General features: G+C 33.4%; 1 protein-coding gene and 1 long non-coding RNA gene across 8 annotated transcripts in view; one reads left to right on the top strand and one right to left on the bottom strand.

The window, feature by feature from the left end:
* Positions 1-14,608, top strand: part of KCNH7 (potassium voltage-gated channel subfamily H member 7) — a 467,361-nt gene that overhangs the window by 31,163 nt on the left and 421,590 nt on the right. The gene's annotated exons all lie outside the window — the stretch shown is intronic.
* The window catches only part of KCNH7-AS1 (KCNH7 antisense RNA 1), a 29,037-nt gene continuing 24,061 nt past the window's right edge, over positions 9,633-14,608 (bottom strand). The window contains exon 5 of the long non-coding RNA NR_110258.2: positions 9,633-12,209. This is a non-coding gene — a long non-coding RNA (KCNH7 antisense RNA 1). The remainder of the gene's footprint in view (positions 12,210-14,608) is intronic.

The raw sequence follows: 14,608 nt of genomic DNA, 5'->3' as shown, positions 1-14,608 counted from the left end.
TTTTCCACTTCATGTCATTATTTTTCAGCGTGCAGAGGGATGTTAGACTGTTTTTCAAATACAAAAAAGCCACAAACTTGTATCAGAATCTCTACTTCCTATTGAAATTAAGCCCTAGAGGTAAATATTTTTAGAGTTTTGTCTTGTTGGGTTGTTTTCTTGTTTTTTGAGACAGAGTCTTGCTCTATTGCCTAGGCTGGAGGGCAGTGGCACCATATCGGCTCATTGCAACCTCCGCCTCCTGAGTTCAAGTGATTCTCGTACCTCAGCCTCTCCAGTAGCTGGGACTACAGTTGCACAGCACCACACCTGGCTAATTTGTTTTTTTTTTTTTTTTTTTTTTTTTTTGTATTTTTAGTGGAGATGGGTTTTCACCATGTTGGCCAGGCTGGTCTTGAACTCCTGATCTCAAGTGATCCACCCGCCTTGGCCTCCCAAAGTGCTGGGATTATAGGCTTGAGCCACCACACCTAGCCTTGTTTTTTGTTTGTTTTTGTTTTTTGCAAAAGAGTATCTAGTGGTCATCGATTGCATTTTGATATTATAATTTCTTATTTTCTATTTCAGTAGTATTTTTATTACTCTACTTTCTATTTCTATACTATAGTTTCTATTTCTATTGTTGGATTTCCTTATTTTAATGATTTCCAACATAACTGTTTAAATGCATAGATTATGTAGTAATCTATATAATGGTCAAACCAGCTAGTTTCTGTTATACTTTGAGTTAATCTAGTTACAAATTATCTTTTTTTAAAAAAAAATTCCATTTGACCTAATAAAAAAACAAAAACAAAAACAAAAAATCACTACTCCTTAATTCCACAACTTCAGATTTACCGAAACCACAAATTCCATTTAAATTTCCAGTATTGCTAGTGGTGTGGATGCCTGATGTAATACTGAGTTATCATTGCCAGATTAGAACAATTTTTATTGTCTGAGACTACTAATATTCCTTCTGTTGCTGAATTTAAGAGAATACCCTAAAGCACAATGTAAATTGTAACACTGAGTAGCAGAATTTGAGGGCTAGAAGGCCAAATCATTTTCTGTTTTTTTAACTGTAATGACAGCTATTGGTAACTGCCTGCTCTCTACCCAGAAATTATGGAGATAAGGAAATCTATGAATTATAGTAATAGTGTGTGTTAGTTATCATTCAAAGGCATTTACTATTTTCTGGCATAACAGAACAGAGCACATAGTAAAAACTCAATAAATTGTAATTTATAAATAGTATTTTATTATCTTCATCCAAAAGCTCCTCTTTGAAGGTGACGTATGGAGAGAAAAGCTGTTATTCCCAAAATTGAGTTAGCTAAGCTAAGCTTAAAATTTATTTTATTTTATTTTTCAATTTTTAAAATTTCGATAGCTTTTGAGGTACAAGTGGTTTTCAGTTACATGGATGAATTACATAGTGGTGAATCTGAGATTTTAGTGCACCTATTACCCAAGTAGTGCATACTGTATCCAATATATAGTTTTTTACCCCACATCTCCCTCCCACCGTGCCCCCTCCTTAGTCTCCAAAGTCCATTATATCACTCTGTATGTCTTTGTGTACTCATAACTTAACTCCCACTTATAAGTGAGAACATACGGTATTTGGTTTTCCATTCCTGAGTTACTTCACGTAGAGTAATGGCCTCCAGCTCCATCCAAGTTGCCGTAAAAGACATTATTTCATTCCTTTTTTATGTCTGAGTAGTATTCTGTGCTGTATATATACCACATTTTCTTTTTCCACTCATTGGTGAATGGGCACTGAACTTGGTTCCATATCTTTGCAATTTTGAATTGTGCTGCAACAAACATACATGTATATGTCTTTTTCTTATAATTTCTTATTTTCATTTGGATAGATATCCAGTAGTGGAATTGCTGGATTGAATGGTAAATCTACTTTTAGATCTTTGAGGAATCTCCATACTGTTTTCCATAGAGGTTATCCTAATTTATATTCCCACCAGCAATGTATAAGCATTCTCCTTTTACCATATCTACACCAACATCTATTGTTTTTTGACTTCTTAATAATGGCCATTCTTGTAGCAGGAAGGTGGTATCTCATTGTGGTTTTAATTTGCATTTCCCTGATGATAAGTGATATTGAGCATTTTTTCATATGTTTGTTGGCCATCTGTATATCCTCTTTTGAGAAATGTCTATTCATGTCCTTTGCTCACTTTTTGATGGGATTATATTTTTTTCTTGCTGATTTTTTTTGAGTTCCTTATAGATTCTGGATACTAGTCCTTTGTCAGATGCATAGTTTGCAAATATTTTCTCCCATTCTTGGGTTGTCTGTTTACTCTGATAATTATTTCTTTTGCTGTGCAGGAACTTTTTAGTTTAATTAGGTACCATTTATTTATTTTTATTTTTGTTGCATTTGCTTTTGGGGCTTTAGTCATGATTTCTTTGCCTAGGTCAGTGTCCAGGAGAGTTTTTCCAGGGTTGTCCTCTATAATTTTTTAGTTTCAAGACTTAGATTTAAGTCTTTGATCAACCTTGAGTTGATTTTTGTTTAGGGTGAGAGATAGGGATCCAGTTTCATTCTTCTTCGTGTAGCTAGCCAGTTTTCCCAGCACCATTTATTAAATAGGATGTCCTTTCCCCAACTTATGTTTGTCGAAGATAAGTTGGTTATAAGAATTTGGCTTTATTTCTGGGTTCTCTATTCTGTTCCATTGGTTTATGTGTCTATATCATTAAGATGTTATTTTGGTAAATACGGCCTTGTAGTATAACTTGAAGTCCAGTAATGAGGTGCTTCCAGATGTGTTCTTTTTGCTTAGGATTATTTTGGCTATTTGTCTCTTTTTTTTTTTTGGTTCCATATGAATTTTAAGGCTTTTCTTCTAAATCTATGAAAAATGATGTTTGTATTTTGATGGGAATTGCATTGACTCTGTGGATGGTTTTGGGCAGTATGGCCATTTTCACAATATTGATTCTTCCAATCCATGAGCATGGGTTGTGTTTCCATTTGTTTGTGTCATCTATGAATTCTTTCAGCAGTGCTTTGTAGTTCTACTTGTACAGATCTTTCATCTCTTTGGTTAAATACATTCCTAGGTTGTTTTTTGTTTGTTTATTTTGTTTTGTTTTGTTGCAGCTATCGTAAAAGAGATTAAGTTCTTCATTTGATTCTCAGCTTGGTCATTGTTGGTATATAGCAGTGCTGTTGATTTGTGTATATTGATTTTTTTAACCTGAGACTTTACTGAAATTCATTTATCAAATCTAGAAGTCTTTTGGAGGCGTTTGTAGGGTTTTCTAGGTATATCATCAGCAAACAGTGATAGTTTGACGACTTCTCTTCTTATTTGGATGCCCTTAATTTCTCTTGCCTGACTGCTCTCTAGGACTTCCAGTACTATGTTGAATAGAAGTGGTGAAAGTGGGCATCCTTGTCTTGTTTCTGTTCTTAGGGAGAATGCTTAGAATGATTTTATACATCTGTATAGTTCCTTGAGACAGTGAATTAGAAAATTTCATATTTGTGAATTTAGATATACTTAATGTTTTTGCTCATCAACTACCTATTCTCAAGTTCATAGAAATAACATTATTCTAATTTTACTAATGGTGTCAGATATACTTTTACTTTCAAAAGTGAAATTAAGTTAATATGATTTTAAAATACTTTGGAGTACATTTCTTGATTTTTTTTTTAGACAATTGGAAACACTCAGGCATGTCATAATGAACAGGAATAGTGTACAGAATGTGTCATTGTCCACAGATCCTGTAAGTAAAAAATGCAAACACAAGAAAAGGGGGCACTGATCATCTGAAGTGAAGTTTCAGCCAAACTCCAAGTTTCAATAAATGTTCCTGTTCCTTTTTTATGCTAAATATTGTACTGCGAATTATATACCAAAGTAAAAACTGTTTGCTACAGTCACTCAGATTCCAGGGGTGATTCTTTCATTAGAATGAAATATGTGCCAATAATTTTGACTGCCAGATCATTAGCCTATGAATAATGACTTTTACAAAGTAAAGTTCTATATTATCTCATGATACAGTAAAAAGCATTTAGGCTACTCCACAGGCAAAAATGAATCATTTAGGGGCTGTGTTACCTTGGGGAGATTATACACTCTAAGTGTCACTTTCCTCATCTGTAAAATAGGGATGATAAAGTTCTGTGACTGGAGAGTTAAATCCAATGTTATAATACATTAAAATATTTCACACAAGTATTTAATAGATCAACAAAAATGCCTACAAGTTTATTGTAGACATGATTAGTTTATCATTGGCAGCTAATCCAGAATTACTTTCAAACTAATACTTTTTCTTTTGTCTATTGCTAGTTTAATCAAAGTTAATTCCTCACTTATGGAAATTGAACTAAATTGGAATACATTTTAAATAATTAAAATATTCCCCTTCTGAAGGAGTCTATCGAGAAGTTTAGAGTAAATAATTTTGTCTGTGAATAAATTGGCGATCTCACTGGTGATTGAATTGTAACAATTATTTTTAGCAGAGCTAGGATAGCATTTTGTTCTCAAAATAGAAATCTTGGGGAAACCTCCGGACAAAAGAAATGGATTAATGCTATGGTTAAATGTATAGAGTTGGGCTGCCTTTTGGGATGGCCTCCTACCCATATGTAGCTATGAGACACTTGAAATGAATATCCGATTAGTATCACTGAGAAGCTGAATTTTTAAATTTTCTATTATCTAAATTAAAATTAAATAAAAAATCTGAAGCATAAAATATGTTTGTGTTAAAAATTATTATTTTTCTTAGACATCTTAATTTGAACCACTAAAAATTTGGCTTCTGAATTGAGATGTTCTTTATGTATCAAATGGACATTGCATTTTAAAGATTTAGTACAAAAATGTAATATATCCCATTAATAATTACTGTATATTGTTACATGTTGCAATGTTATTCTTGTGGGTTTATTGGATTAGATAAAATATATTGTCATAATTTATTTTGTTTATTTTTACATTTTTGCTATAGCTACCAGAAAATTAAAATTGTACTTACAGCATACATTCCATTTTTATTGGATAACACTGGTATAGAGATATTGCTGGAGTAAATGTACTCAATTCTGAGTTGAAATACCCCACTGAGAATTAATTGCAGGCCTCATGTAAGTCAAGTCAGACTTAGAATATGACCCGAGAGAGAAGGTAGCTTTTGGCAGAAGTTTAACAAAAGTCGTCTGCTCTTAAAGATTCTAATTCAGAAGCTAATGTGGAGTTTAATCCTAACAACTAGTATTTAAAACTGTTCATCAGCTAGAGTACTACTAACCACTTTGATTAATAGCTTAGGTTTTTCCCAGCCCATTTGAGTATTGGAAACTTTGATCATATTTGATAATATTGGGAAATTATCAGTCTTTTCTTTGAAAAGAAACTAGAGTTATTAAAATAACAGGGATGTTCTCAAACTAGTTCCAGAACCAACACCATCTGCAACACCTACTAAACTTACTACAAATGCAAATTTTCCAACCTCACACAAGACCTACTGAATCTGAAACTCTGGGGACAAGGTCCAGGAATCTGTGGCTTAAGATTCCTAGGTGATTCTGATGCACACTAAAGTTTGTGAACCACTATATTGGAATATATCATATTCTTGTTAACTGATGGATAAGATTTGTTCTAATAGACTGAGATTTTAGTAAGTGAACAGGTATTTAGTTAATAACAAACTCCAGGGCCATAATGATGTACTGAGGCTGTAAGGAACTCATTGAAGCACAAGCATGGCTCCCTCTTCCAACAACTTCTTGCATTAAATCATTAGTATTCAGGCAGGACTCTAGATGGGGATTTTCCTTGTGTAGGGTTTCATTATTATTAATTGAGTTCTTAATGGAGTTTATTGCTTAGCATTCTCAAATAACTTCTGTTTTATTGTGATACAAGAAAGTCTAATCCGCCACAATGATTTTACTTTTCATAATGGCACAGAAGAGTTGCTGAATGTGATATTAGCTTAAATGTATCCCACTATCCTTCATCTATTTGTAATGAAAAATGATTCTGTTGCCTTTTGAGAACATCAGAATGATTATGTAACATTTTTGTGGTGCTGAATTATTTTAGATATGACATTCTTAGTAAGGAAAAAAAATGGTGCTTCAAGAAATTACTTCCAAAAATGGTAAAAAGGAATTTGAGAAAAAAGAAATTACTTCAGAATCTTACTAATTTTTTTATTCCAACTTTTGCTTGTGTAAATTAAAAATAGACAATTGTTGAGAATTGCTATTCCTGCAGTTAATTTCAGCACCCTAAATATTTAAGTGTAAATATTTAGGTTAAGAGGGAAATATTTATGCTTGAAAAAGCTTGTCTTTTTCATACTTTAAATCCCCACTAATATCTTTGTTCCATTATTATTTATTTTTTAGAATAGCATTATTTTACTTTATCAAATATGCACTTGTTTTCTAAGTAGTTCTACCCTCTTCGCATTAGTTCGGAATACATCAAATAATTTTTTCTTCTTTTAAAAATAGAGAACCCTTGTGTTTACCTTTCCATAAATATAAACATGGCTTTAAAAAACATGAATTTTATGTAAAATGTGAAATAAATGTCAATATTTGTATGTAGCATTTATCCTTTCTTACAAGGAGAGAAAAGCCAGCAAGAGATTTCTGATAACTACCATCACCTTAAAGTCTGTTTTTCTAAATACTACCCCTTGACACCCAATAAAAAAACTATGAAACAAATAGGATAAGACTACAAGAACACAGGATTACTTTTAGTGCTCTAAAGGTGGGAGTTCTGCAACATCATAAGGGTGTCAAAGGCCTAGCACATTGGCATTTGCCATTCATGGTCGACATTGATGATCATTGTGTTTTAGCATTCAAAGCACAAGGAATAATAAAAGCCATACAAGTTTTTATTTTCATTAGTTTTAACATGTGATATTCTTGTACACATGCCTGAATAATGCCTTTTTAAAAACTTAGTAATCATGCATCATATGAGTGGGTAATAAGGAAACAATATTCTTTACCATGAGAGTGGGCTAAACACTTCAAAGGACCCTTCATGAAACATTTGGAATTAGAGCTTGAGGTATTGTGACGTTACTGTTTTAATCAAAGCTTTTAAGTTGGAGATGGTGGATGAAAAAAACAGAAAAATTACCATAGGTGATAATAGTATACTCAATAAAAATGTAAAAATACTGCCGTTGTACAAGACTTTCAGTAAAAAGACCTGGCAAATCCCCAGGTATTAGTGGGGATTTAAAATATGAAAAAGAAAAGCTTTCTTTTTTAACATAAATATTTCCCGTCTCTATTTAAATATTTACACTTAAATATTTAAGGTGCTGAAATCACGGCAGCAATAACAATTCTCACTTACATTCATTTTCTACAATGCTACATCTGGTTATTTTTCTATCCGGGTTTAAGTTCCTTCACCATAAGTCCTTCTTCCTTTTTTGGAAGGCTCAGTGGATGCCCTATGATCTGCCCCTGGAATACTCATTGTTTGTTGTGGTGGAAGGTTGATAAGAAATCTTTTATCTTATAAAAGATAAAATGTATATATTTATATTTTCTTGTATTCAACAGCTTTGAATTGGTGCACCCAATTCTGAGTAGCTCTGTGTGTGTGTGTGTGTGTGTGTGTATGTGTGTAAAACAAAGTACTTTATAATGCAAAGTCCCTTTCTTACACTTCCATAAGCACTGGTAAGACAGCAATACAGAAATACAGAAAAGACAAGTGTATAATTCATGATGCCCTGGACTTTCTAAGGCTTTGAAATGCGAACCAGGAACGCAAATTGTTTTACCAAAAATGAAAATGTCCTTTCGCATGACAGCAGTCTGTTCCAGTTGCACCTGTGTTTTGCTATGATTTGCAAATTGATTGGAATTTTGCCCTTGGTATTCTTTTAGCCTCAAAATGTTCTACAATTTGAAAAGTGTGGAGGGGAGCTTGATCATATATGTACTGTTAAATCTGATTTTAGATAAATTCTAATTTTATGAATATTGTTTTTTGAACAGGACAATTTGAGAAAATGAGGATTACTTATAAATATTTATAATGATCATGAAACAGTATTCTAAATATTAAAGATCTGAGTTGTAAAGATTGATATATTAATATTTACCTTATCTTTAAAAAATATTGCTTGATTATTACCTATGCTTCATGTGGTTCCACAAGGAATATATTACTGTTTTAACAAAGATGTATGCAGTTCGATAGTAAAATATTTTTGCAAAAATTTAAAGAAGAAATTTAAATTAAATAGAAAATTTAGGGAGAAAAAATTAAACACAATATAGGGACCATTCAGACCCCATCATTGCTATATTTGAGCATTGAATTTGGCATTGAATTTTTTCACAGATTAAGGAAAATGTAGAAAGGGCCAGTTAAAAAGGAGAAAACATCTTGTTTCTCAAGGGAAGCAAAGCTTTGCCTACTACTTAAAAAAATAAAATATATTTCTCAAGTGGGGCTTCCCACAGTGGGTTTTTGGTAATAGACACAAAACTGACCCTATTCAAACACTGCTCACCAAGAATATACTAGAATTAATCATAAATGGCCATTTAGAGTTTGTCTAGAAGTGTTGCACAGTAATTAGCCAATCCAAAATGTACAGTATGTGAGATGACACTGGATGTCTGGTCTTTTGCAGCAGATTTGTAATTGCTTTTTATTGTCTATCTCCCTTATTGAATTGGGAACTCTTTATAGGTGGGGGTCGCTTTTCATTCATAGTGTTGTGCCAAGTTTGCACTACGCACTTGATAAGGAAAAAAATTAGTGTAAAAATTGTTAAAGGTCTCTATCAGAACAGTCTAAGGGGCATTTCATGATAACTCAATCTTTTTAAGATACAGTTTTAAGGCAATATTTTAAAAAACATTTTGAAAGGTGGATTTATGAATACTGCTTCTTTTTAGAAGGTGACAGAATCAAACACAAACATGAGGTGTTCAATAAATATTGCTGACTATATTGATTTGAGCCAAAATTTCACCAATAATGCATTTGGACTGAGTGTGTAACTAATATTCTTGGATTAGGAAAACAAAGCTCTTAGAAAATGAATCCTAGAAGTTTGTTCAAGATTCTGTCACCTAATATGTAGAAAATGTATTGAAGATTTTGAAATATCTGTGTATAATTTTCTAAAATTCATGTGTATCTCCTAAGAATCCTACCATATTAATACCAGTTGTAATGTAGGTCAAAGATGTGGCAAATATTTTCTTATATGAATTTTTTTCAAAAGTATTAGCTCTGTAATTCTTTCAGAAATTCTCTGGGACGGCCAATTCACAAGGAATAAAATGTAAATTTTAAAAAGCCTTAGGGCAAACTACTTTCGTTTTCTTAAAATACTCTGCTTCTAGGAAGGATGCTTCTACTAAGGAAAACAGGAAAGTGGTATAAGTGATCTATAACTATGTATAGTTTACATGGGACACAGAAGGAGATAGATTTTTACCTTTGTTTTTCATTCACTGTAAGCAGATAAATGTATATTTACTTAAGGATGGCTTGAAGTCATGTTACAACTTCTATTACTATTCTTGTCATTGTCCACATTTTTCTTAATTTTATCAAGTGTGGAAAGAGAAAAACAGAAATAGTCTTCCTTTTAATTTAGAAATGGGCCACTATAAGCATACGCACAACTCAAAATTGCAGTTTCTTAATGTTATGCACTTGATTAATTTGTATGAATTCATGCCATATTTCTCTGAACTTTGCTGAATTGCCAGGTATATGGCTTGGCTTGTATCTCCAGTTATAAGCCTTGGTATAGTCACGCCTGACTAGGGCAGAATGGAGAACTTGCTTCTGGCTTACAGCCCTCCTAAGGGCACCATGCAGGTTAGTGCTGCCCATGATGCTCTGGTGTTTGGAGATCTGCACACACAACCTCATTACCCCACCTTTAACATCTATGTCACAGATCAAGGGTTTGCAAACCATGATCCATAAGCCAAAAGTAGTCCAAAGATGTATTTACTATAGTTATATTTCATTCTTAGAATTTTAAAATTTAAATGCCTTTGTGTCTGTATCCTGCTATAATTCTGGTCCAACCAGTCCTTGTTTTCTTATCCAGTCCATGACACTCATTGATAATAATAACTTGGTTCCCAAAGATATGTGAATTTTTCATTCCTATGACCACTCCTGTTTTCTGTCAAGTAATGTTAGATTTCTCTGTTTAAATATGAAATGTTGAAATCCTAAAAGCTATTAATAAACAGATCAGTTCTCCCAGGTGACTTGAGTGTTTTCAGCAAGAATTACCAATGCAATAATCCAGAGATATTAAACAAATGGCTGACTGCTCAAACATTGTTGGCTTGACAGAGCATCATGTTGAGAAGATTTCTGAGACGAAACCCAAATTCACAATGAAAGACTGCAGTCATTGGTGGCCATAAGACACGAGAGACAGGGGTTGTCAAACTTCTGTAGTCCCAGTAGATGAGGATTTACCAATTATGCCTTGCAACAAAGTGAGTTATGTACTTGTTGTATTGCCCCACCATCCTTCAACCAGATTGTACTTCTTCTAGATGGACCTGCATCTTAAATCTACGTATCCTTGTGACACTTATTTCAGAGCTTTACAAATGGAAGGTTATCCATATAATTGGAACTGTGCCAGATCAGAACAGGAGATGTTTTCTGAGACCCTCGCTTCTGCTGCAACATTACACAAAAAAGGGTTTAGAATTTAAAAAAAAAAACAAGATTAACCAAAAACAGGTTCTTAAAAAGTCCCAGGTATGGCCAACAAACAAATATGAATGCCACCTATTTTATTGTAGCTACATTTCTCTAGTTGCTGGTGCACAGGAGTTGTGATTACTTGTTCATATTTGCACCATGTTAAACATAATACAGAAGATGCTCCACATAGCTGCTGTTACTAAGGAAACACAGAGAGTGCCTGCCCTTTGAAATATTTTCCTGATAAGAAATGTGTAATGATATCACATATTTTGCACTGTTTAAGACAAGGTGGGTAGGGCATAACCATAGAGCAATTATATCACCTGAATTACGAGGAAAGAACCTCTAAACTAGCTATCGTTAGTGAAGTACGTAAGCACACTAAGCTTACCTGAGGCAGGTAGTTGAGCGTCTCACTACGTGCTGAACCCAACAGACACTGGTGCCTTCAGTTTCAATGAGCAGGTTTTTTTTTTACTTGGAAACGGTGTTTGTAAACAGTGTGGCTTGCAGTCTTTTTTTGTGCTGGGTTTCGTCCTGATCCCTTACATGCATTATCACATTCAATCTTGTCAAGAGACCTTTGAGTTTCAGATTGTGGAAGCCATTTTACAGATAAGAAAAATGAGGTCTATAGAAACTAAGTAAATTTCCCAGTGTCATGCAGTTGTTCAGTGGTAGACATGAAATTCAGACACAGGCCTCTGATTCCAGTTTCCATGCTGTTTCTTTGTAGTCATCCATTGTGTATGTAAACAACTTTTCATTTAAACAAGATGCAAATAATATTGGTATAAAACAAATGTATTCTAGAATTTCAACTTTCCTGCTCATTTGTTCCTTGAGCCTGGTTTTTCTTGTCTTCAGGTTTATATTTTAAGGTGACATCTTATACTGTGGTCTTCTTTGTTTACTTTTCTATTTCCCTTCACTTCACAGGAGTAAGATACCCAACATCGGACTGTAATTCTGTGTACATAGGATGTCCATGACCCTATTCTCCTAGATTTGTTTATAGGGAGAATACAGGATGCTTTCCTCTCTGAATGTAAAAATAGAACCAGTCAGAGCAAGGTGTTCACAAGTATCTTAAATTATTTATTGAATCCTAACTATGTGTACTCATATTTGGTATGTAGCTCAAGATAAGATGAAGAGAAATGGTCCTTGATTTCAAGAGAAGGTTTTCTTACATACTTCAGTATAATCAGAGGAGTCTTTGGTGTCAGAATCTGAATGCAGGCAAAGACCTCCTTTATAGCTTCAACATTCTTCTCATTTCACAGGATTGGAACTATAGATTTTCAAAGCTAATTGTCAGTGACTATCAAAGTACGGATCCTGAAGATGGGGCTCAAGAGCTGCTAGGAGTCAATGGGGAGTGCCCACAGGACAGACTTCACCATACTTTAACCAGAGAAGATACATTTGAATTGAATGTCCTTTAAAAAGAGGGTGTCCCTGAAATGGAAAAAAAAATTTGAACACCATTATAGCCTAGATTCCTCATTTGTTGCTGACCCTTCCTTCCATACCATTTTCTCTCCCCTTTCACCATAACACTCCCTGAAAGTATAAAGTCTTCAACAATTTTATTCCAATTTATCCGCTGAATTTGGTAATGATAAAAAAGATTTTAATAGCAATTGCATTGCCTAATTACTGAATCATAGAACATTAAATCATTGACAATACACAAGGCAAACCTCAATATACAATTAATTAATGAGTCTGCTTGTATCTATGAAATGAGATACCTAAAAATATAGATTTTGTGGATACTTATTCATTTTAAAGATATTAAAAACTAAAGCATATTCTTAACTACTGACCAACTGGTCAAATAGTTAAGACTGCAATGAATAGCTTGAAATTAAAAAAATGTAGTATAATTTCATTAGCTCTGATATGTATTTTACTCAAGGTCATGAATCAGAACTTTTAAAACTATTAAAATTGAAGGATATCAAGAAATATAATTGATGTGTTTCTATGCATATTAATAAGGTCATTTTTCCATGTCAAATTCTTCTGAGTCTTAAACTATGTTATAGTTTGAAGTTAGGCTTTTTTGGAAGGCATTGTCGTATATTACTAATGGGAATGCATAAATTATACAATAAAAATTGGCTTAGTAAGCCTAATTAATAGAGCAACTTCAGGTAATTCAATCAAGTAAAACTTGTCTGAGACTTTCTTTTACTATATGAGCAATAGGAATAGGTTTTAGAGTATAAGTGTCTTTAAGAACATGTATAAGAGAAAAAGAGAAAGAGTAAACATTAAAAGGACAGTGATTGTTAAATATTTGCAGAAGTTTTTCTGGTAGTTAATGTATAAGTACTAAGTGAATATACAGAAGCCACAGCTCTAATAGTTTCTCCAATGTTTTAGCATCTTTTTCTAGCCCAGGACTGAGTTGAGTTCTTTTTAGGAGAAAAGCGTTGATGCCATCTGCAGCACACCTATAGATCATAGGCAAGAACAAGAAGTAGATTGCATGCTCAGTTATCAGGTATACGATACATCTGAGTTAGTTCCTGGCATGTAAATGATCAACTCCCTCTTTCCCTTTCCTTTTCCTTTTCCTCTTCCTTCCTTCCTTCCTTCTCTCCCTCCTGCCCTTCCTTCCTTCCTTCTTTGTTTTCCTTTCATGTTTTGACTTTACTATCAAGTTCTAGCCAGTATGCAGACTATTTTTTTTAAGTTCTGAAAATATTCTTGCAAATTTCTAAATGAGAAACAGGTAAATTTTATTTATTTTTTTCAGCTTTCCTGAGGAATAATTGACAAGTAAATATTGTATATATTTAAGTTGTGAGATGTGATGTATTGATACATGTATACATTGTGAAGTAATCACCACAATCAATTAACATACCTACTACCTCACATAGTTACCTTTTTTTGTGGTGAGAACATTTAGGATCTATTCTCTTAGCAAATTTCAAGTACACAACACAACACTGTTAACAACAGTTCCATCCTGTACATTATATTTACATGTAAGGCAAAATGAACTCTAAGTTAAAAAATAAACAGAAAATAAAAAATAGATCTCCAGAGCTTTTCTCTCCTGAATAACTGAAACTTTCTACCATTTGACCAACATCACTCCATTCCTCCCAATCCCTGTTCCCTGGCAACCACTATTCTACTCTCTACTTCTATGAACTTGATTTTTTTTTAGATAATTATTACATTGAATCTGTAGATAGCTTTGAGTAGAATGGACATTTTAACAATATTAACTTTCCAATCCATGAATGTGGGATATCTTTCCATTTATCTGTGTTTTATAGTTTTCAGTATATAGATCTTTTTACCTCTTTGGTTAAATTTATTTCTAAATTTTGTTTATGTTATTATAAAATGAATTGATTTCTTAATCTTTTTTTTTAACTTTTATTTTAAGTTGAGGGGTACATGTGCAGGTTTGCTATATAGGTAAACTTGTTTCATCGGGGTTTATTGTACAAATTATTTCATCACCCAGGTATTAAGCCTAGTACACATTAGTAATTTTTGCTGATCCCCTCCCTCCTCCTACACCACACCCTCCAATAGGTCCCAGTGTGTGTTGTTCCCCTCTAGGTGTCCATGTGTTCCCATAATTTAGCTCCCACTTCTAAGTGAGAACATATGGTATTTAGTTTTCTGTCCCTGTGCTAGTTTGCTAAGGATAATGGCCTCCAGCTCCACCTATGTCCTTGCAACGTACGTGATCTCATTCCTTTTTATGGCTGCATAGTATTCCATGGTGTATATGTACCACATTGGGTAAATAATAAAATTAAGGCAGAATCAAAAAGTTGTTCAAAACTAGTAAGAACAAAGATACAACATACCAGAATCTCTGG

Source organism: Homo sapiens, chromosome 2 (assembly GCF_000001405.40).
Source record: "Homo sapiens chromosome 2, GRCh38.p14 Primary Assembly".
NCBI classification, from domain to species: Eukaryota; Metazoa; Chordata; class Mammalia; order Primates; family Hominidae; genus Homo; species Homo sapiens.
The sequence above is the reverse complement of the archived record's forward strand: the minus strand, read 5'-3'. Positions and strand labels throughout refer to the sequence as shown.